This window comes from Homo sapiens, chromosome 13 (assembly GCF_000001405.40).
Source record: "Homo sapiens chromosome 13, GRCh38.p14 Primary Assembly".
Taxonomy (NCBI): Eukaryota; Metazoa; Chordata; class Mammalia; order Primates; family Hominidae; genus Homo; species Homo sapiens.
This window is the reverse complement of record NC_000013.11, coordinates 69297594-69323515: the sequence shown is the minus strand read 5'-3', so window position 1 is coordinate 69323515 and position 25922 is coordinate 69297594. Positions and strand designations below refer to the sequence as shown.

General features: G+C 31.8%; 1 long non-coding RNA gene across 1 annotated transcript in view; it reads right to left on the bottom strand.

Moving 5' to 3' along the window:
• Positions 1 to 1414: 1414 nt before the first annotated feature.
• LINC00383 (long intergenic non-protein coding RNA 383) overlaps positions 1415 to 25922 on the bottom strand; it is a 99756-nt gene continuing 75248 nt past the window's right edge. The window contains exons 3-4 of the long non-coding RNA NR_125752.1: positions 12120 to 12181; positions 1415 to 2171 (exon numbers count right to left, since the gene is read on the bottom strand). This is a non-coding gene — a long non-coding RNA (long intergenic non-protein coding RNA 383). The remainder of the gene's footprint in view (positions 2172 to 12119; positions 12182 to 25922) is intronic.

The window sequence follows — 25922 nt, the reverse complement described above, 5'->3', positions numbered from 1 at the left end:
AATCCTACAGATGTGTAAAGACTTTATTTCATTTTATTTGTGACAAACCAAATTCTATTTTTTTCTAGGTTATACAACCCATTTCGTTCATTTATGAATCAATTTTCTGTATCATTTTCTTTTCACTTGTATGGAGACAATGTGATACCGTGGACATAACATGGGGCTTTAGCCTAAAACCAAGCTGGATGCATGCTCTTGCCTCCTGCAAACTAGTAACCTGACCTTGAGCAAGCTACTTAACCTGTCTGAGAAACCTACAGCCTGTTGAGGAAATAAGGGCAACGTTACATAGAGTACAAAGTTGTTGCGTGTCATAGTTCATACTTTATAAAAGTTAGTTTCTTTTATACTTTCAAGTTTTGTTCTTGGTGTAGTATTTATAATGCTAGGTAGGAAATTCAAAAACAATTTTACATTATGGCTTTTATGGTGCTTTTGCAAATCTGATTACAATATAGGAGTCTTTTCTAAGTGCTCCACGTTTTATTTTCCCCAAGAAAACATATAAATTCGTGCACTTGTAAAATTCTGTTTTTTGAAACACTCAATTTTCACAAAAAGTAGGATCATTTTTCCTGTGTAAAAATGGTTAAAATTTATGTCATTTTTCTTCTTGCTAAGTTGTTAAAGAAATCTTACGTAACTTACATTTGTATTCTTATAAAAATATTTCTAATTGGGTTGGCAATAAGTTTTGTGGCTTGATTATCTTCTAGAAACTTTAAAATTGCATTGACATGTGCTTTTCATAAGATGTAAATGCACCCATAAACTGGTATGTATGATTAAGTACAGAGTGAAACATTTCAAAAGCTGAATTAGATACAGATTCTCCCAAACTACTAAGTGGTATAATTGTTCTGGATAGGTTTCTTGCATTAATAACCCAGTCAATAGAAACATTTAATTTCCCAGAATGAAAACCTGATGAAAAAGAAAAAAGTGGTGGTTGGAGGTGGGGGGATTGTGAAAAGAACTACGAGCCACAGTAATTGACAATAGCAGGATACCTTTAAACTTCCATTTTCTGAGGTTTTTCTGAGAAGGAAGAAAAATGAAGTTAAACAGCATCCTGTTCTCTAGCCCTATATAGTAGCATAGACATTTTTAATTACTATTAAATAAATTCAGTTATGTTACTTTGAAGTTTAAATGCCACTTCCAACTTTTAGTAATTATTGAAGGTAGAATTGCATGAGAATTTTATATATTTAATTAGGTATGTTTTTGGCTATTAGTACAACTTATTTGCCCATGAAGAATTAATGAAAATTAATTTTGATTTAATTTTTGATTTGATTTATTTAATCAAATAATGGCTCTTTTTTATTTTTTTATTTTTTATTTTTATTTATTTAATCAAATAATGGATGGGCTCCAGAGCCCATCCCAATAAAATAATATAATTTTATTTTAAGCTGTTTTCTTCTTATGTAGTATATAAAACTATGCTGAATTCTAAATAGCTTGAGCTTGACATAATTTTTAAAAATCTGAATTTGATGCTTCATAAATTAGTAAAGATTTACTGTAACAACCAGTATCAAGCTTTTTTAGCCATAAAATATAATGCTATAGCAGAATTTTTAGATAGTAGAATATATTAATAATATTTGATGATATTTCTTAAACTGTAGTTCATATATAATATATCTGAACTAGTATACAGGTAATTTTTGATCAAGGTGACCCCAATCTTTTTTTTTCTTAATAAGAAATGTACTCTGGGTATACCTTACTATTAACATGGGAAAATGAAACAAAACATTATGCCATCATTTTTAACTTTTCACTAAATAATAATGTACACAAGCATTAACTTCAATACAGTCTCTTTGAAAACTCTGCATATTTATGTGAATTCTATTATTTGGTAAAATAATGCAAACACCTGGGTAGATAAGCTAAAGAAAAATTTACAAAGGCTATATATATATATATATTCATTCAGTATTCTCTCTTTTTATAATTTTTATATAATTTTTTGTAATAGATGAAGTGTCACTATGCTCCCCTGGCTAGAGTGCGAGTGCAGTGGCTCTTCGCAGGTGCCATGATAGTGCACTGCAACTTTGAACTCCTGGGCTCAAGCAATCCTCCTGCCTCAGCCTCCCAAGTAGCTGGGACTCCAGGTGCATGTCACTATGCCCGGCTTTGCAGCATTATTTCTAGATGCAAGGAATTGAAAATAATAGTCAACAATATTGGAGTGATGCTTAGTATGACAAAATGAGATGACAATCCCTTAAGAAGCCATTCAAAATCATAATTTTGAAAAATATTTGAGTGTATAGAAAATACTTGTAATAATCATTCAGTCATAATTTTACAAATGTTTGTTAAACATCCCCATAGGCTGAGCCCCTTACTGAGCTCTGAGTTTGGTGTCTTGCACATCGCTGACACTCAGTAATGTGAAGACCAAAACAGAGTCCTTTAGGCAGTCCTTCAGTTTGGTGTGCATAGAAAAAAAGACATGTAATTTCATACACACAATAAATTTATTAGAGGGGTGAATTTGGGTGATTGTAATATTTTCATTTACAGACACTTTCAAGTCTCAATAATAGGCGTATATTAATTAATGTGATAAATATAAGAAAATAAATATAGGTACACATACACACAGACACACAGATACACACACACACACACACACACACACACACACACACACACAGTGCTCTTACACCTTAAGCCACAGATTTTATGACAGTTTAAATTCCAAACAAGGAAAGTAAATAATCCTCCTATGTCAACTGTAGGGCTCTAACACCAAAAGTCCAAACATCATTAACAAAGTAGACACAAGCCCAACTACCAAATTGCTCTCATGATGTTAGAAAAAAATTATATTACAAAAAACCCACACAAAAAAAAACAAAAATAACCCCCTAAATCCAGAAATCCTGTTACTCATGTAGTTCTTACTGCTTTTTATTTGAATTGTTCTTTTTCTTGATAACTTTCTCCTCTCTGAATCAGCACTGATATGTTCTTTATTAATATTTTCATTTTCTTCCCCATTAAACTCTTTGCAATATTAGGATCTAAAAATATTTTATGTCTAGTTTGAATGAATACAGACAATTTTACATCACCTCTTACAGTATCATCTGTGTTAAATCATATATTTGCAAAACTTATTTGGCAAGGGATTTTACTGAAACAATGGCACACAAACCAGCATAAAGCAGTGTTTATTTACAATATGTTATGTGATTTTTTAAAATTTAAAATTAATTTGCTAAATGTCATGATATCCACTTAATGTGAATGTTGCTGGTTAGGTTAATTCACTTTTTTCTTTAAACTTCTTAATATCTGAACTTTTTTTCTATTCAGAACTCACCTTAATGCTTATAGAATAATGCAAAAGTATGTTAGATAACTTTTTACACAATTTCCAATGCAGTTTTCATATTCAAGTTTTAAAACTGATGATTTAGTAACAACTTTTGATGTACTCTATTTGAATGTCAAATCCAGGCCCATCTGAATCGAAGATTTAAAAAAAATAAATCTGAGGATCACAAGTTCAGAAACTTAGAACCGTATTTAGAAATTGCAAAGTATCTTTATTTAGACAAGATTTCTGCTGCTTACAGATCAGTAGATGAGTAATACTAGTATGCAACTGAAATTCTGTGCATGGGGTGTTCTGAAAACCACGACATCTCACTTAGAGAAGGAATGGCTCATAATTTCTCAATCAGATGTTGCTACCAATTGTACTGGTACACCATCTAAAAAATAAATGCTTCTTGCCATTGCTACTCTCTATTAGTATTATTGTTTTTATATTATTATTATTATTAATATTATTGCTGTTATCATTCATATATTTACAACCTGTGCTGATGGGACTCTGCTAGTACTGCCAGACACATGATCTTCATGGAAACTGCTATACAGAGGAGAAATAGATGCTAAAAACATTTGGGCTTGCAGGGTACCCAGAAATCAATTGGTAGATATATATAATGAAGAGATATTTGCACACATTCAATACATATATGTTTTAGAAGGTATACAAATTCACAAAGGAGTCACTCTTCATTTTGATATACTTTGCAATACACATAATTACCCATGGTGTGTGCTGGCTGCAATGATTAATTTTGTAATTGCGATTATTAGCTCACATGAAAACAAGACATCTCGCAATGTCATAATAATAAGTCTTAAAGAAAGTTTTTCTTTAATGATTCTTCTCGATAAATCTATGGTGCTGTTATGTTAAACTATTTGACATTTTGTGTTTTTTTAAATACCATTGTCCTCCATTTCCCTTACTCTATCTTAGTATTTATTCATGTATTCATGTATTTAACAAACATTTTTGTGTGCCTACGTGTGACAGACCACCTTCTGGCAAAGATAATATAGCTATGAACAAAATATATGAAAGGCCTAGCTTTCAGAAAGATTTAACTGGGGCAAGACAAAGAAAATGAACAAGGTATGTAACACTTAAAATGTAATGTGGGTATAGGAGAGGAAGATCATACAAATGGAAAAATGGATTCAAAAGGAATGGTGGTCAGGGGACTGATCTGAGAAAATGTGATATTCCTACAGAAACCTGAAGGAGATGAGAGAGTGAACCTTGTAGATATTGGGAGAAGGATATTCTTGGGAGAAGGAACAGAGAGAGCAAAGGTATCACAGTTTATTGTTTCTCCAACAAGAACTTCAAAGTAATAAATATGTTCAAAGTAAAATATACAGCAATACAGCTTTATTTACATAAATTATAATCTGAAAAACCGAAGCAATTATCTAGATTATTAACACATTAATATCCCTATAGGTTGATTAGATGGGTTTTGCTAAAGTAACCTGGGAGAATGTAATACATTTTAATGTTACATTCTGATACACTAATACTTCATAAAGTTAGCAAATGTGTACAAAGAATCTTTGTTTTGCCAGTAATTCTTCTGGGCCTCCAAACTCTCAAGGTAAGTAAGTCCCAGGTTTTGCTCCCTGAAGAGTCATTCTTGTAGGAGACACAGACACAAGTATAATTCATGGTAATATAATTTAAGTATCACTGTGGAAATGTATACAGAATGCTACTGCAAGAGATGGATAGTTAATTTAGCTTAGAGAAGGATAGAAAGGGCTTCATAAAGAAAGATATGTTCTAGTGTGGCCTTGTAAGAGGCTGGACATATTCAAGGCCAAGTAAAGGAGAGGTAAGAAAATTCATAAAGCAAACAAACAAGATAATTCAACACAATTGTAACATAACTCTTTTGAGGACAGTGTTTAAAGATACTTTATAGGAGTTGATTATTATGAGTTAATGAGTGGTCTTGTTTCCACATCAGCTAATGAAAACAATCATTATAATAAATTATAAAAGCTTATATTGACTGAGTGCTTTGTATGTGCAAAGTGAGTCATTAATCCTCAGAGCAACTCTGCAAAATGGGCACATTTGTAACTCCATTTTGTAGGATAGAATATTTAAATCAAGTAATCATTCAAAGGTCAAGAGAGTACCTGGTTGAAACAGGAATAAACTACTTGTTCTTACTTGTTCTTTACTATAAGGTCAAATTCTTAAGTTTTGCTTACTATAAGCAGTGGGGAAGGCTCTGAAGCTGACTCACTGAGCTGGAGGACATTATAGATGACTGTGTCCTATCCATTTTACAAACAAAGAAAATGGAGTAAAATGAATTGGCTCCTTCTCCATATTTACAAATTCAAAGGCAAAACTGGAAAACGACTCTAGTCTCTTTATTTGGTATTTCATATTTGGCAAGATTTTCTAAAATAGTATTGTGCCCATTTAGAAACAGATCTCATCTCCTTCCTTCCTGTCAGCACATTTTCAGAACGTATCTGCTTAGTAAATCCTGAATGATTTATTTTTGAAAACAAAATACAGACCAGATTCAAGAAACTTTACCCCAAATTTCTATTTTTGAGATCTCGGATACATTTATCTCTTTGGCAATGAGTTCTTCATTTTTATAAAATAAAAAGTTGAATCGAATATAATATCTTATACCTCTCAAAATCAATGGTAAATGCTGCTACTTTTCATTCTTCTAAATGTGCCCTTGGGTATTGCTAAAATGTCAGTTACCATTGAAAATAATATTTTACATTTGTCCAACTGAAAGGATCATCCAAATTTTAACACATTCGCTTTTTTAAAAATAAGGTATTTGCAGATTTTGTTATTTTAAAATTCCCTGTACAGTGGAGAAAGCAGATATTCAAAAGGTTAATTTTAACACTACTCATTCAGTAAGTGGTAAATGGAAATTCAACCACAGTCCTTCTGATTCAATGTCCATTAAATACTCTGCTAAATTCAGTGGTCTTTTGAATGTAGCACAGTTTTACGACCTATGATGTGACTAAATGAGAAATCAGAGCCATGAAACATGAACAAAAATCAAGAAGAACAGAATCTGCAATCAATTTGGGAAAGATGTTAAAAGTAAAATAACTACTGATGGAAGGATTTGAAATTGCTTTGAAAAAATGGAAGCCAGCATTTCTTAATCAATCTTGGGATAGTTGGACACCTGATTTAAAAGGACGACTGATTGACTTCAGAATCTGGTAAGCAGTCGGTGAAATTTAGTCATTAGAGTGTTATTATTTCATTCAAGGTTACTAATTCACCTTTTAACATAACTTTAATGCCTTCTCTTCATTTGTCAGTTATTAGCTTTTGCCCTAGGTTGGATTTTAATTACATTTACTTTCTTTGTCATTAGATGTGATTTGCTAGGTCATTCTGCCACTTCAAAAATCAGTTGATGAGACAGCTGATGTACTTAATGAAACTTAGAGATGATTTTGTGTGAAATGATTCTCTCATTGTTATTTCAGTTCAAAATATGTTATAGTTTCTTTCTTGTCATATTCAGGATTAAAAAATTAATACGTGTGTCTTCAAGAAAGAATGTATAGACTACAACAATATTTTGACTGTGATAATGCCGTTCTGCTAAGATAGTTTATTATGGTGAGAGTATTACCGCAGAGAAAATCTTTTTTGTCATTGCCACTCAATGCTATTGAGAAACCCTTTTAATCCAAATAATTAGTGATAGGCAACTTAAGCCAAAGACAATATATACTTTGTCCTATAATTTTTTTTCTTATAAAAGTTTTTGAGTGTTTATCCAGTTATGAGTTAAATCATTTGATACATATGTGCATAATACATATGTACATATAAAACAGTGCTTAGGGATATATACCCTTTAGGATTCTTATGACATTTTATGTGTGTATATAAATATGGATATATGTATGGCTGTTTGCAGCATACTAAAGGAAATACCAGTGTAAAAAGTAGTGGAATGTAGCATGAGAATTGAGTTGCTTTGTCTAGTGTCACTAGCCACATAAGCATTAGACAACATGGGATAAGATGGCATAGCGATGCTATGAGACAGTGGTGCAGGCTCTTGAAACAAAATGTTTGAATTCAATTTCAAACTTTTGTACTTATATAAGAATGAATTGGCAGAACTTCTTCTCTTTGTCTTAGTTTCCTAATCTGCAAAATAGGGATTATTTTATAGATTAGGAGATATTTTTATGAAGCTAATACAAACATGAATTTTGTTCATATGTAGATACATTACTTATAATATTTCCTGGAAAAAATAATCACTCCCTGAATGTTATCTATTACTGTTATTACTATCACATAGCAACATTTTAAATTTTAATGTCAATTTTTCCTCATAGATTACATGCATAAGTTATGAGCCAAGGTTGTTTGCTAAAATATCTGCAATCCATAAATCATTCTTTTCTGATTTGTCTCCGCCTCCTATCTCTAGTCTACCTTGCGATGGTCTTAGGGTACAGCTGTAGCACTAATGACCTGGAGGTCAATGACACAGTTCCTGTCTCTCTTAATCTGTGAGAGGCACCAAAATGAGGGAGAACTATCAAGATCTAAGAACATGTCTTTTTTGTATTGTTCAGTAGCAAAACTTTGTGAGGAGCACAATGTGGGAATATGATCATTCAGTTTATGGTAGTAATTATTCAGAGACCAAAGTAGATATTCTTTTTCAACAGTTCAGGATTAGTAAATTCTGGTTCTCGGAGTGAGAGATGGATTCTCAGCAAGACTCAGTCCTCTGTTTTGTACCTGGATATTGATTCTCATAATGTCATTGATGGACATTAAAATAGTATTTTTTCTCCTTCTTGGCTCTGAGTCAGCTCTTCAAATGACCGTGAATTTATACTGAGCCAGAAGTGCTGAAGAAAGCTTCATTGCTGGTGGATAAAGTGCAACATCATCATTCATTTTTTAATTTAGGCTCTGCTTAAAGTGTTGGAGGTTGTAATCAATTACATTAACACATGAGGCAATTTGACTCATTTGAGCAATTTTAATCAGGATTTCATCCTCATCATAGTGCTGAGACTGCTGTATTGAAAGAAAATAATGACCTTTTGATTGCAACAAGGGACGTTGTCTTTCATGATTTTGTTGGACCTTTTGGCAGCATTTGATGCAGTTAATCATGACATTTTATTGGCTGGTTTATAGATTTTGGTAGAATTTTCTCAAATAAAATTAAAACCAATTCAAATGTTACCTCTCAGTGATCTATTTAAATGTCTGTTCAGTAAGGTTCTTTGATCTTACTGTAGGATTCTGTAAGAAAAGACCGCCTTGCTTTCCTATTTATATTTTGTACAAATGCACTTTCTTATAAATGAGTATTTTGGACTTTTATAACATCATAGAATGCTTTGGATAGTATTTAACATCTCTGGTTGAAAAATTAGTGAACTGTGTTTGCTGATGAAATACCTTATGTTGGCCAATTGTATTCCTTTATTAGGTATGTCTAGTTACATATCTCTAGCTCCTAATTTGGTTTCTTAGAGGGAGAGTGAGATTATATAGCATAGACAAGCAATAAATAGGAAACACAGTATTCTTCTCTAAGTCCAGATATTTTCAGAGGGGTCTCAGAGGTCACAGTGACCAAATTATCAATAAGGTAGCTCTTGACATCATGTAATACTTTATTTACCTTGGATGCTTAACCGTACTGACATTATATTTTTAATTATGCAGAAAGCAGCTAGAAGCTACTTGATATTGTTTGGCTCAGAGGCGCAGGGAAAATACTAATGTCTTTCATCTTTTGTAATTTCATTGATGAGAAACTTAAAATTTAAATGAATATTAAAGGACCACCAGTTGTCAAATATAAATGTATGTTTCTGGAAGAAAATGGTTAGCAGTAGGCCTACAGATGATTCCCTCAATTCAATGGAGGGGTGCCCCCATGAAACAAAGAAGATAGCCTGGACAAATATACTCATAAATAGTGTAATGACAAACCTCTTGCAAACATGTTACTGGTATTTGCTGGTGAAAAAGCCCTTATCTATAAAATGTTCTTCATATGTTGTACTTGTTTTAATTGCTTAGTATAAGCACATGTAGAGCATAGGGATTTAAGAGCATGGCTCCCTGGTAAAGGTCCTGTATGTTATGTAAATATCAGAGTATAAAATGGAGATGTATTACAACTAAAACAACTCAATTTTTATTTTAATCAATATAGCTGCGAACATTATTTAGGGACTTGATATGCTATTCTGTTCTACTCTTATGTAGCAAAAACAAAAAATGCCTCAAAACAAACAACAACAACAAACAAGACAACTGCAGTGGCAGTCCCTGGACTTCTCTGCTCTGCTTGTATATTGTGATCATTTCTATGGCTCAGATTTTTCATAAACCTCAAGCTCTGAGTGAGTCTGATTAGACAATGCAGTTCTTTTTATTGCAGTTTCTCAGAGGATTGCCAAAGAAATTATGTTTTTACTTATTTTCTATGTCTTTTCTGGAAATAATATAGTATGTATTCCTTAAGATAATGAAATTAAATACTAAATATGATTCATGGATAATTATTTTAAATTGTATTTTAAATGAATGTGGAATTTTGTGTGAATAAGGATCCTTATATAAGTGGTCCTTTTCATTATAGTAGCACTAGTGTTAAACTGCTAATTATATTAACATATTATAGCTAAGCATTAATGTATCTTTTGATAATATTTCTGAATATGTACCTAGGGATTTATAATTTTCAGAACATATTTTTCATTATATTTATTCTAAACAATCTCTTCCCAGTAGTAATTTTTTTTATTTATTATTTACAGTATTCTGTCACCCAAACATTAACACTTTATTCCTTGGTTGTCTGCCTCTTCAACTCCCTAAGCCTGCATATTGTTTTAATCAACCTATTGCTTTTCCCAATCTTACTTCTGAATTTAATGAGACAAAACCATGTGACAATAGCTCTAAATTCACAAAAAATTTCAATTTTACACAGCAATTCAATATCCTTTAATCAAAACCCTCCTTGATTCTCAAAGCCTGCACTTCAGAGACTACATTTTACACAGCAGATATCCTTATTTACAATTAAATAGCTTTAATGAGATATAGACTCCATCAATATTTTACCCTTTCAAACTAGAAAATTATCTGCATTGTAATACCACTTTCCCCTTAACCTTCTATCTTAAATGAAGGTGTTTTTGTTATTCTGAAGTATAATTTCTCCATTTAAAAAAATCTGAAACACATACCTTCTTCCCAATGGGAGTCTTATTCCATCAGTTGTCTTGTCTTCAACTTCATTGTCATTTTTTTCCCTGTCTAATTATTCTTGCCCACACCTCCCTTTTTTAAATACAGTAGAACTTAGATATAAATATAAGTACTGTCATCTTATCATAATGCATCTTGTGTAGCTACTGAAGTATTTGTCTTTTCCTCCAAATCGTATAAGTTCTTAAAAGAGTAGCCTATGGTCTATAATCTCCAATCTTATATTTATTTAATTTTTTAGTACCTTGCCTATTACCCAGCTAGCACTGTTCTTCCCAGTGTTACCAAGGAATTTTCAGTTTCCGATTTCAATAGTTGTTGTGGTGATGGTAGTTATTGTTGTTGCTCTGTATTACCTCATTTTTCTGAAGCATTTACTATTGGTGACCATCCATGTTTTATCTAATTTGTCTAATAAAATGTCTGGTCTCCTCTAACTTCTTTTTATGTTTATTGATTGTATTCTTTCTTAGATCCTCATCTCAATTTGACCACTGAAACTTTAGTGCTTTCTAGGTTCTTTCACTGACCTACTCAATTCGCTTATTTCCTTTGTTATCTTAAGGAGACTCATGGCTTTTTGCCAATACCTAAATGTTGATAACCTCAAATCTCTCTCTTCTCCTACTGCTGTCTTCTGAAATGTAGAACAAAACTTGTAATAACATGCAGGATATCTGTACTTTGATTTATTTAACTTGTCCAAAACTTTACTCATTAGTTGTTACTGTCCTCAAAACATGCACTTGAAGGTACTATCTTTAATCCACTTACTTACATAAGCAGAAGCCCAGAAGTAATCTTGAGAGGTTTCCATTATAGTGTGTCCCAAATTGGTTGCAGGTATAGATTGATATTGTTCATCTCTGCCCTTTTGTCAGATGATTATCTCTCATTAAATGTAAGTTTATCTGTATATTCCAAAATGTTTTGAAATATTATTATTTTGTTTGTATTTTATGGTGTAAAAAATGCTTAGACTCTTCTTATATTCTCATTTATGATATCTTAACAAGTCATTCGACTTGGTCACATCAATATATTAAATACCTCTCAAAACTGCTTCATATTTCCTATTACCTCTACCCCCAATTCTTTTGTTAAGAGCTTTTTCATATCAACCCTGGATTATGGCCAGAGCCATTTAATTAGCCTTCGTGAATCTAATGTACCTCCAAACTCAATCCAATCTCTATAGCGCTGCCAGAGAGCTCTTCAAAACCTAGCGTTCAATTTATTTGTTTAAAAATATCTCCAGATCATTATCCACTTTTAAAAAAGAAAATCACTAAGCCACATAAGAAAAACATTCATATTACAGCAGTTGGCTGTACTGGCAGTCTGGTCCTTTTACCCAAATATTCTAATGGTTCATAACACTTTTCTTCAAGAAAACCTTCACTGATTTCCCTAAGTTGGGAGAGGCATCATGGTGTTTTTGTATAATCCTAATCACAATAATATTTACCCTGTAATGTTTCAGTTTGCTTGTGATCCAATTAGTCCATGGTCCTTTCAGAAACTGTGAATCTGTATGAATTAATAAATATATCAGCATTAAAATGATCCTGTATTTATGAGTAAGTAATAGAAAGGCTGAAATATATAGACCACTTGTTTTAGAATGTCATTTTCTTTTCTGCCACTTGACTATACTAGCTGGTATATCAATTTATTCTCTTTCAAGCAGTGCCCGTGCACACTTATCTCTAACATTTTGTATGTTGTTTCTGTGTTTTTTGCTTTAGAAACCACTATAGAAACCACCAGATTTCTAAGCAAAGAGAAACATAGTTTTGAAAGTAAAATTTGAGCATAGACTTTGCACGTGAAACTTGTGATGAATCATTTTAATTTAATTTGTGTATACTTGTGGGGTAAAATGTCATGTTTTGATATATATATATAAATAAAATATAAAGATTCAATCAAGCTAATTACCATATCCATCACCTCATCAACTTAACTATTTTTATAGTGACATCATTAAAAATATTATTTTAACAAGTTTGAAAGATATAATACATTATTATTAACCGTGGTCACCATGCAGTGCAATAGATCACTAAAACTTATTTTTTCAGTCTAAATGAAACTATGTACCTTGTGATTAACATCATCCCTAACCCCACCACTTTCCAGGCCGTCCTCCCCAACCCAGACTGTCTTTCTACTCCCTTTCCAAGAGATAAACCGTTTTAGATTCCACATACAAGGTAAGATCATGCAATATTTGTCTTTCTGTGCCTGGCTTATTTTACTTAGCAAGATGTCCTCACATTCCATCCATGTTGTCATTAATGATACAATTTCTCATTTTCAAAGGAGAGATGAGTTTTTGTTAGAAAGGAGTAAAATCAATTGAGGCCATGTCTCAGGGGAGGAGAAGATCGGCATGGCATGGAAAAAGTCGAAGTCTGAGCAGAAATAAAGAAGAAATATATTTCAGACAGGAGGAACAGAGTACAGAATATATACAGAAACAGGAATTAAAATATGATTTACTAAAATATTTCCTAAACCCATATGTTAAAAATCTTTCATCTTTCAGTTACAGTTCATCTTAGACTTACCTACATCTTCTCATTTAATTATAAAATAATGTTATTTGCTATTTCTCACATAACAATTAAATCTTTTAAAGTTTAGCTGATTATTTTTGTTATTAAAAATAGCAAATGCTTACTATAGGAAATTGAGAAAATATAAACAATAACTGTATTTCTTTTCAGTTTTCCTAAATAATTTTTGACATTGATAGATTGAATGTTTTAGAGTTCATTTGAGCCTCTACTGAAGCTCTCTGCTTAATTTTATAATCAGCAAATCTCAAGATATAAAAATTTGGTAGAAAAAGAGACTAATTTTATTAACATTTATGTGATAAATAAGTGATATAACTCATTTTATTTTGGAAATTAGGAATAACGGTATGCTGACGTAAATTTCTCAAGGCTTTAAATGATTTACCATTGTGAAGTTATTGGTAATTAAAATTATGACCATAAAATTTACTAATATTTTAATGTGTTCTAATTCTAATACCTCCAGGAAATAAGACTATATACAATATAAATAACCTCAAGCAAAATTTGAATCAGAATTTATTTCATTTCATTTCAATTTGAAATAAAAATCATTAATCCTAAAGGAATTCCTACCTTTGTATCTATTTGAGATTTAAAAAAATAATCCTAATTAAGACAGTATTTATCACATAAACAGTTGTTCAGGCTTAATAATAATAATTTATCGGTAGCCTTATGACATTTTAACGACTTGATTCTCTAAATACTTAATATGTGAATCCAATCATTCTTTACACAAACATAGAATCAGAATTTGTTGGGCTCAATGTTTCCAGTGTTGAATCCTTTGAAAAGCCTTTGGTATGCTTTTACTACCTTATGCTATCTTGGACAAGTTATTCAAACTTTTTGAGATTTAATATACCTATCTATGAAATGCAAACATTTGCTAAATTAATATAATAATGAAATCAGTTAACGAATATAAAGCTTCATTACCAGGATAAGACATTAAAAGCAGAAATGTATTAAAAGTAAATTTCTTCTTTCCAAACTACTTATTATAATCATACTTTACTATGCTCATATATATGTCAGTATGTCCATCTACTATCTATCATCTATCTATATCTCTATTTATAATCAAGAGAGTTGTAATGTTTAGACTCCCATCATGTGTTTCTTCCTTTATTGTTATATTTTTTTGCCAGCTTCTTTTCCTGAATGATAGACTCATATCTAAAGCTCCAACTTGATTTTGAAGAGACCAGATAAGGAGTATAATTAGTAAAAATAATAATCAATAAAATGATAAAGCAGAAAAAAATGAAACAAAGGAAAGCTAATTCCAAAGGGTTTACTTTTCCTGCAGGCAAAAAAATAGCCAAGTACCATATCTTGGTATTGACAGATTAATCAACAGTTTATAATATATTATACTGTCTTTTTAGTATCATCTCCCTCTGCTGCAGCAAAAATAAAATATTCACTCTCTTCTTAACTCCCATGGGATAAGAAACATGCAATTCTTGCCACATGATCATTTTTTTCTTACTGTTCTTTTCCTCTAATGCATTTAAAGTCTTATGGAAGCCCATCTTTCCCATTGCATTTTTTTCTCTAATAATATCAACTTATTTTTTCCAATTGCAATGTAACAGCTTCCCAGGACCACTGTATTGTCCCACCATATTCTGCTTTTTATTGTCAGTTTGTTTTAATGCACTTTATTAAATCCCACTTGCTTATAGATAGAAAATATACCTTATGTATCTGGTAACTAAGAGATGAAGATTTTCCTATTATATACACTAAATACCAAGAAAAACTATATTGTCATTCATGGAAAAGGTATATGTAGTTAATGACAATTTTACTTACTGTATAATAGTGTAATTATTTACCTCTGTTTATATTTGTAAATTGCATTATTACATGGAATCAAATATTATTTTACCAAGGATATGGCTATAAATAAGATTTATAATGTAGTTAACAATAACTCATATTAGTCAGATATACAATAATGCCTATAAAACTATTCTGGAAACATGTTTTAATTTAAATTGAAAGCAAAAATGTGGCTAGCTCATAGAATAAGCATCCCCTAATTAACACCTTGAATAGGTGAAATGTACTAGAGGTGATGACCAATAAACTGTCAGAGAAATGCCTATTGGAAGAAGACGTTCAAAAAAGAACGAATTCATACTTTCGCCTTAAGAAGTGTAATAGTGTACATTTTTTAAAAAAGAAGTCTTTGCCACACAGAATAACCTTATGTTTTATTGAAGATTTGATGAGATACTTTGTGACAGTATCTCATAATCATATGTTTATGACAGATTAAGTGAGCTTAAGTAAATGTATAAGGTGAGCATGTCTTCATTGAAATATAATTTTCTGAAAATCTGTATGGAATGTTTATTACTATTGTTTATATTTAATCATTTAAGCAATTTATTTTAATTTCAGCATATTCAATATTTTAAAAGAAATTTTTAAAGAAAATTTACAGAAATAGATATTTCTTGAAATTATTATTTCAGGAAGATAGTGTATTTAGTACTTTCATAGAAATAGCTAGTTTAGTAGAAAATATTTCTAGTAAGATCAAGATTAAAAGTTTTATATAGATATGTTCAGTTAGTTTGAATATATTTTGTAGTCACAAACTATCCCATTACGGGTCTTATTCCATAGGCAGCTATGGTAAGACAGACATTTTACTGAAGTTCTATTGCTAGGACTGAGTAAAGAACTTAAAATCTGTGCCTGCAAACAGGCTGACAACATTGCAATTTTGATATATTAGCTGCTCTTTAAATTATATCATTAATACTTATTTTTAAGACAAATATGATAGTAAAGCATTTTTAGTGAACTATATTCTATAGAAAATTTGCCCATTTTAAATGTTGTGTTTCATGCATGATGAATTCAAAAGTACTAAGGAAATATATATTAATGTGTAACTACTGTTTAAAAAGAAAAGCAATAAACATACACACAGAGTAGTACTGCTAAAATTATCTTGAAGACTTTTAGAGTTAACTCATTTCATGAGTAACTCATGAAATAAAAATTTTCATTTTCTGTTCAAAATTATAATAATGTTGGGATCCCAAAGTACAATTTATCTAGAAATATTGCCTCTCACTCAGCTGCATAGATCAATGAAAGCTTAATATTATTTTTTAAATTATATATTATACACACCTCAGAGACATATGTTAAATAACATCATTCAGTAAGCTAAGAGATAGCATATAAACAATAGAAAATAAGTATGAATCTATACTATTCACATTAGTAGGACTTTCTGCCATCACAAAATTCCCCAGAAGATGTCAATGCAAGGCTGTAAGATGTTACATTCCAAACAGAAAAGTGAACTAAATCAATGAAAGTCACTGGGGACATCAAGAGTATAGCTACAATGTCAACACCAAATGACAAGATGCCAGTAAATTTGTTTGGAGAAAATTTGTTCGGTAAAGCAAAATAATTTTAAAAGATAGTTACATATTAAAGATATACTTTAAAAAGTAACATCACTATACAACTGAAAAATGTACTGTATATGAAGGTCTTTTAAAATATAATTTTTCTTTTAAATATACTAGCGACAAAAATCATCCAAATAAGAGAAATGTTGGGAAAATTATTTGAGAAATAGGTAGCTGAAAATTTCTACTTTCAAGATTAAATATTATAACACTTCAAATTTCCTTTTGAGCATCTATGTGTCTGTGTGTGTGTGTGTGTGTGTGTATTTAAAAGACACAAAAGCTCTATTTTGTGAGAGAGAAGGAGATAGAGTGAGAGAGAGAGATGTCTGCACAACATGACAATTTATACAGCCATCCAGTGACCACACAGGGCTGTTTCTACAAATCCTTCTCTACAGGGAGAACTTTGTATCTGTTCAGTACTTGTTCTCCCTTGCCTTTCTAAAATATTTTCTAGACCTTACTAACCTATTTACTGCAACATAAATTAATTGTGACAGAAAGAATGGAAGTCTATATTTTTTTCTGTAAGAAAAACCATGTTATAAACTTAGTAGCCAATGACAAGTTTATAACTAGATGATATCTTAACATATAAACAAAACTAAAAAAATGGAAAAATTCACGTCTCTTAGCTATGCACTTTAGAAAAAGCGCCAAAGAAGCATATAAATAAATCTCCAAATAAAACCAAGAATAGACATATATCTGGAAGACAGCTAGCAGTAATAAAGCTTCTCAAATAGAACTCCAGTACATGTCACACTAGAGAAATGAGGGCATGCAATGTGTTACTTATAGTCCTCTATAAATAGTTTAGTTTACGTGTTGTGTGTGCGTATGTGTAATAAAAGATCATTTAATTTTTGTTAGTAAAATAGGAATTTTACCCGATAATTTATAGTTTAGTTAGGTTTCTGGTTATGTGTGAGGTTGAACTTACATTTCTGAGTTATGGATATCATAGAACTGCCAAAATTAAAAGAAAATGGTGATCATTCAAAAATCATTCTCATAGCAGCTTATACTAAATGTGCATACATACTGCTGAAACTAAAATCAACACAAGAAGACATTTGGTCAGTGCTGAATGTGTAAATATTTTGATTACTGAATTCTTAATAATCTTAGCAAAACTACAAAATCACAAAATATAAAGAATCGTACTTGGAAAAATAAGTTGAGTTTACACTGGGAAAATTTCTTCAAAACCTGCATGCTTTTCAATTTCTCATTTATTTCAGTGTTACTCAGGACATTGGTTAACAGTTTAATTCTATAGGTCTACCAGATTTGCTAGATCTTCAGAACCTCAACAATATCTGGTACAAACTGAACAACACCAATACTTATTGAATGGAGTATGTAATAGTTAACTATAATTAATCTTTAGATACTTTTGAAGATTTTACTAGATTTTTCTTACCTTTGTATAATACAAATTGTGATATAATGTATTGATTTTAATGATCATCACAGTACATATTTTATTCACAAGTTTTTTGATAGTGAACTTTTTTCATATTTTATTTTGGGAACAATTACTTTATTTGATAAAAATTTGGTATTCCCTATAACACGTTATTTGAGGTAGTGATGAACATTTAGAAGCTGAGTTTCAGAATCTAGTATCCTTGTCTCTATGTATATCTTTCAACTTCTGAGATAACCTGAGCTTCTAAACTCTTTCATTTAAAGAAATGACTTCCTGGTATCAAATGTATGTGATGACAAACACATTGAATTAAGGTTTTTGAACACTATGGTTTGCAAAGCTAGATAATGTTGATAATATAAAAACTGCAATAAAACCTTGTCAATAGACAAACTCCAATAACACCTTGTCAATAGACAAACTCCAATGAAACCTTGTTTAGTTGGCAATCATTCTCAGGGAAAAATGTGTTCATAAAAAACAATGAAATACTTTCATAAATAACGAAATAACTATATATTCTCAAAGCATTTCACAGTATTGATATTTATCACAGTCATGCACAACTTAACAGGGTTATGTTCTGAGAAATACATCAATAGGCACATTTGTTCTTGTGTGAACATCATAGAGTATACTTACTCAAACTTAAGTGGTATAACCTACTACACACCCTGGCTACATGGTATAAACCTATTGCTCCTAGGCTACATACCCATATAGCATGTTACTGTACTGAATACTGTAGGCAATTGTAACACAATTTTAAGTATTTGTGTACATAAATATACCTAAAGATAGAAAAGTGACAGTAAATTATGGCATAGAAGATAAAAATTGGCACACCTAAATAGGACACTTACTGAATGAAGGTTGCAACATTGGCAGTTGTTCTTGGTAAGTCAGTGAGTGAGTGAATGTGAAGGCCTAGGGCATAACTGTACATTACCTTATTCTTTATAAAGACTGTACACTTAGACTATGCTAAATTCATAAGACATTTTTCAAGTTATTTATTTTTTAATAATTTTAGCTTACTGTAAGTTTTTCACTTTATAAACTTTTTCCTATTTAAAACTTTTTGCTCTTCTGTAATAACATTTAGCTTAAAACAAAAACACATTTACAGATGTACCAAAATATTTTCTCTATATTCTTATCCTATAAGCTTCTTTTCTTGTTGTTTTTTTCTTTGTTTTACATTTTAAAATTTTTGTTAAAAATGAAGACACAAACACACACATTAGCCTAGGCCTACACAGGGTCAGAACCATCAAGATATCACTAGGCAACAGGAATTTTTCAGCTTCACTAAAATATTATGGGATCACCATTGTATATGAGGTCTGTCATTAACCAAAACATTATTATTGCAGTTCCTGATTGTATTTCAAATGTATTATGATTTATTATCACTACATCCTTACCTATAGAAAGTCACCCAAAATAGAATTAAAACTGATAAAGATCAAGTTAACAACAATAAAAAGCAAAATAATAGAATAGCAATGCTTGTGTAGTAGTTTACTTATGAGAGAGTATGTTTGTTATCATGGCCAATTTTCTCCTTACTCTTCTCCTTCATCTTGTTATTGAGCATATTTTGGTATCAAATACACATTTGTTAATATCATACATGCTCAGATAAAATAATTTTAGGCAATTTATATTAACAATTATATAAAACCACCTAACATACTAAAAAGAAGCCAATTGTTGATTGAAGCTCTATTTTGTATCAGGCAATGTATACACAGTTTTTTATTTAATTAGAAAAATGGAATAAAACAAGGAAGAGAAAACTCTGTGATATATACATTCTTCCATTTCATAGAAAAAATAAATGGATCACACTTGGTTAAGTAACTTGTTCAATTGTAAAGTGTCAAAGACCACTCGCATTCAAATTCAGAGTTCTACAATGTAAAATTCCATGCTTTTATAACTGTATACTAGTCCATCCATAATGTATTGCCAAAAATTAAATACTAAAGACATAAGAGGAGGAAGAAGTCGTATAGAGGACTCATTTTATTAATGATAAAATCCAAAATTTAGCTCTGAACATCTAGTGACCTAAAACTATTATCTACCAAATTGGTTTGCATAGCTGTTACTTTTTATATTCTTTAGGTTAAGATATATCTTCTGAAACATTCATTTTTTTTCATCTAAACCTTTGATAAGAGCAACTTATTGCACAAAGCATTTTAAATCTTTGGCAAAATATATACAAGAAGTATTTTCTTGATTTTACTTCAAAAAGATCTGCATCTTCTGAATACCAAGTGTATATGCAGACAATACTAGTGATGCTTTATTGAAAAGGTGAGTGCATTTGAACTCTATTCTGGTCTTAAAGGGAAATGGAGGGTGTCAGACATACACATGCTTAAGAATATTAACAATATGAATCTGACCTCTTCTTGTCAAGCAGGGGTCAAATAAGCTAAAGTATCCGAATGGGTGATGGGTTAACGTACTGTGCCATAGGCCTTATTCTGGAATCTCCAAAGGGCTGTACTGTGATGGTGCTCTAGTATGTTTCTTTCTGTATTTGATGTTAAAGGGATCAGAAATAGAGTTTCAAAGAGCAACATGAAAGTGATATAAGGTGTTCAATCCAAAGGTTATGAAAGATGATTTTATGAAGAAAATCAAAGGTGCTCTATTTGCAACCAAGGCTATTTCAAAACTATTGAAAGTATTTCTTTGGAATCAGAAGATATATATATGTAATCTGCTATAATGAATAGTAGTTACATGTGAAATCTAATTAAGTAAAATATCATTGCAATGAAAACATGAAAAATATATAAAACTTCACAGGTACATAGTGCTTCACAGTTTGTAAACACTTTTCTGTACAAGATCCAGTTCAAAATAAAAATCACTTACAAAACTTAGAAATAATAATAATGCTCAAAGATGGGGAAAAGGTTTAAACTTTTAGGTTGATTGATGCTTTAAAACCTCCTCACAGATAGTATTTTTTAGATTTAAAAAGTATGACTTGCCTGAAATCATAGGGAGCAAAAGTGTCACTCTTTAAAATCAGAGTCACCAATTTCCCTCTGTAAAACCTACTGTTGCTAATCATAACAGGAACCACCCTGTGTATGTTTAAACGCCTTTTTAAAAAACATGTATTCATGAATTTCATATTTGTAATAGACTTTTCAGGTAGATGTTACTAGTATCCTAACTCTATGTTAATACTAAAGGTCAAAGAAGTTTAACACTCCCATGCAATACTGTTTGCCAAAACCAGCCCTGAAATCCAGGTCTTTATTTGAGATCACATGTTTTTCATACTATGCTGGATTGCTAGACTGTACTTCACAGTCAAATCACTCCATTAATTTCAGCACAGTATAGGAAATTTGTAGGTTCTTTGAAGTTTCCTGTATTTAACTTGATAGAAATAATACACAGAAATTAAGAATTCCAAAGTTACACGAAACTCTTTTTGTAATAAAGTGTATTTTTAAAATGATCAAACAAACTTTAGCTTTCTTTATCCATTTACCATAAAAAAATCCTCAATACTAACCTTCTTTCATCGTCCTCACTTTCACATATTCCACAGACCATTGAGATCTGTCTCTCCTTCTATTAATCTACTAAAAGAGCTCCTATTTAAGTCACTACAAACTTGTTAATTGCCAAACATAATGACCTTCTCTCAGTTTTTACCTATGTGACTTCTCTGAATTATTTTCAATGTCATTCACGTCATTCACAATCTTCTATTGAAAATTCTATTTTTGATGTTGACTCAGCCTTTCCCTTTTAATTTTTGGAAGAATGTTTTTCAAACTTGTTAGATGGGTCCTCTTATTCTGTATCTCCAATCTGCCTACTGAGCTGAAGTCATACCTTCATTGACTTAGTGGATGTTTCTCTGATATTTTACTCAGGAAACTAAAATCTTTCCAAAATCCAACTCACAATCTACTCACAGAGTAAGGATTTACTTCTGATTCTGCAAGTACATTAAAGACAATACTGGCCTGTAGGTCTCTCTACTCTCTGACTTTACTTCTCACTACACTCCTCCTCATACACTGTGCTCCATCTAAATAATAACTTTTTATTTACCTTTCCCACTAGCTGGAATGCTCTTCCCCAGGTTTATGCATGACTCTGTCTCTCAACTTCAAGTCCTCACATTTAAAATTCCTAGTATTCTTTTGTTTCCATCTCGTTTCTTGCCTAATTTTCTTCACAGACCTTATCATCATTTTCCAGATTATATATTTTTTGCGTATCTGTTTAATGCCTGTCTCCCCTACCAAAAATTAAGCACCTTCTGATCGAGGGCTGTTGTCAGTTTTCTTTGCTGCTCTAGCCATCTGATATGACTTGCCCCTGTCCCCACCCAAATCTCATCTTGAATTGTAGTTCCCATAATCCCCACATGTCATGGGAGAGACCAGGTGGAGATAATTGAATCATGGGGGTGGTTTCGTCCATCCTGTTCTCATGATAGTGAGTGAGTTCTCATGAGACCTGATGGTTTTATAAGGGGCTTTTCCCTCTTTTGCTCTGCACTTCTTCCTGGCGCCATGTAAGACAAGTCTTTGCTCTTCCTTCATCTTCCACCATGATTGTGAGGCCTCCCCAGCCATGTGGAACTATGAGTCCATTAAACCTCTTTTTCTTTATAAATTACCCAGTCTCAGGTATGTCTTTATTAGCAGCATGAGGACAGACTAATACACCATTTATAGCACTTTGCTTGGTAAATTCAACTCATTGTTGAATAAATTGATGAAAGAATATTTGACCCCTTTCTTTTACATACTTTCCACATAAAAATAAATATTATTTGTGTCATATCATTTTGCAATATAACCTAATTCAGGCCCACAGCATCGTATTTTGTTCCTTGTCAGTGTCCCTGTCTAAGTGGTATTAGTGACTCTTTGCTCTTTTTTCTCAGATCTAGTATCACAGAAACATGAGTGGCATATTTCTAAAACACAGATCTGATCCTTTTAATCTCTCATAATAAAAGCATTCACCAAAGGACAAAGTTCAAATCTGTTTTCATTTTACAACAGGTGCTTCACAGTCTTAGCCTAATACACAGTTCCAACTCCACACACTCTCCAGAATTATTTCCACGTAGTAACTATACCAAACTAATTATTGTAACCTGATCATAGTCTTTTTTCACATGTGTCTGAGAGTTTTTCCTTAGAGCAAAGTTAACTATTCTTCTGCTATCCAACTGGAAAATGCCCTCTCAAGCTTTCAAAACATCTTTTTTATGATATCTTCTCTGACCTCTTCAGGAATAATTATCACACATTATGCTGTTCTAAAATGTCCATTCTTCCTGGAATTATTAGCATCATAATATTGTGCTCATGTAATTCCCTGGTGAAGCTATAATATTAATGAGAGACATTCAAGTGTTTATAGAAAGAGAACAAGTTGAGAGTTGCAAAAAGGTAAATCACATACATTATGTAGACAGAGAAACCAGAAAAAACTGGAAGAAGATAAAAGTATAGAAAATGAAAACAAGTATGTGATAGGAAGTATGCTTGTCAGCATGTAACAATATGCTTCTGAGGTCTGGACAGACAGCACAGACAATGAGGGAAAAGATAAAAATGAATAATTGCGAGGTTTAGTTTATGTTAACAATTTAATAAAAATATTTGGATCGTTATGCTTTTCTAGGACCTATGCTAAATTTCCGTGCTACAAAGAATAGTAAGAAAGACAAGCATTCTTCCCTGAGGCCCCAGGTTGGCAGGAAAGTGACTCCTAATTGGGAGATCAGTGAGTTTAAGTAGGGTCCCAGCAACAGGGCAAGGTAAGGAAGCAAAACTCTAGCACACCGGTAAGGCAAAAGTTAGAACATCTTTTGTAGGATTCTGGGGTAAAAGGAGGTTATCAAGCATGGAGTTCATTAAATAGTGTCAAGTTAGAGCTCCCACTCAATAGCCAAGTTACATCAGGGGTAGAATCTGGGAGCAAAGTGTGAGCTCAGTCACTAAAATCGGACTGCTAGGTTCAATTCTGACCAACAGCAAGAGTGATATCATAAGGAGCAACAGAATATGAGCCTTTAGCTAGTTAAATGCCTTGTAATTCACCTCTGGATTACTTCTAAGAACAAACACACTGCAGGGAGTTATCAAGGGCTCCCATAATGAAGAAAAGATGAATGAAAGTGTCAGGAAGAAGTACAATCCTATTTCATTTCCCCTTTAGGCTGTGACGTCCTCTGTGTTAGAAACAATGTTTTATTTATCTTTATATCAGGATTTAGAATAACCGGAGAGTAACTATTAAGTACACAACAAATACCTATTGCAGTGATTAAACAGAATTATACCTTCAGTTACTGTGTTTTGTTTAATTTTACCATAGGGACACGGTGATGTGCTATCAAACATTACAATAGAGGCTATAAACACAGAGTATATCAAAGTAAGAAATGGAAAAAGAAAACAAAACACTTAAACCATATATTCATTTTTCTTGATCTTCTGTGCTATATTCTAAACCTAAATTTTTGACTGCATAATTGCATGATGACAAAGTTTTCACGTGATAGGAGAAAAAAATGGGAGACAGGGATAAAAGACAAATCTGAAAATAATATATGAAATAAATTCATGTATCCTACTTTGATCATATGAATTATTTTGAAATCTATGTTTTAAATGTAAGAAGGGAAAAATATGATGATATTTGTCTAATTAACAGCTTGTATACACTTAATGATGTGGTGAGGGATAAGGACAATATATTTTGGGGTACTGTGATTATGGCAACACACTGAAATTTGACTGCTAAAATTATTTTCAACAAAATTTGGACTATGAAGGGGATTCTATTGTTTATAAAAAAGTTATCTGCCAGGCGTGGTCGTTTATGTCTGTAATCCCAGCACTTTGGGAGGTCGAGGTGGGCGGATCACTTGAGGCCAGGAGTTTGAGACCAGCCTGGCCGACATAGTGAAACCCTGCCTCTATTAAAAATAACAAAAAGTAGCCCGGCGTGGTGGCACCCGCCTGTAATTCCAGCTACTTGGGAGGCTGAAGCAGGAGAATCGCTTGAACTCAGGAGGCAGAGGGTGCAGTGAGGTGAGATCATGCCACTGCACTCCAGCCTGGGTGACAGAGGGAGACTGTTTCAAAAAAAAAAAAAAATCTGTCTCTAAGTAGGTGAGTTTCCACAGTCCAAGTTTTAAATACTAATAATGTATTTAAAAATAGTCACTGTGTTTCGGAGATAAATGTGCACTTTTACTCCCTCCTATATAGAAGTAGATTTTCTCTGTACTTGTTTTGTTCCTATATTATCTATCTTCATCTGACTTCTCTCCGTAAGAACTAGGTATAGGGCAAATATGATCTTTCTGTACTTTCTTCACAACTCTTCTGTTAACATAGATATATTTTAAAATGTAAACATTTATTAAAAAGCAAAAAAAAAAAGTGTGCTTTCTTACAGTTTTATTTTACTCTGCCCGTTATTTATCCATGTTTAATTTACCACTAAACTGTGAAAAGCTTCAGGTATCATTAAATCAGAAAATATTTCTAATTTGCATATATTTTTAATGTAATGGCTGTATCATATGTTATCTACTTAATATTTCCTATTTTGGGGCACCTTGGTTGCTTCTTTTTTTAAAAAAAATAAGTAACTCTATAGTGAATATCATTCTACATAAATTTTTCTCATTTCTGGTTTTTGTATGTTTTTGACTTCAATTTCTTTCCTTCCTTTCTTTTCAGTCAATTGATCTGACTAGGGTTGTTTATATG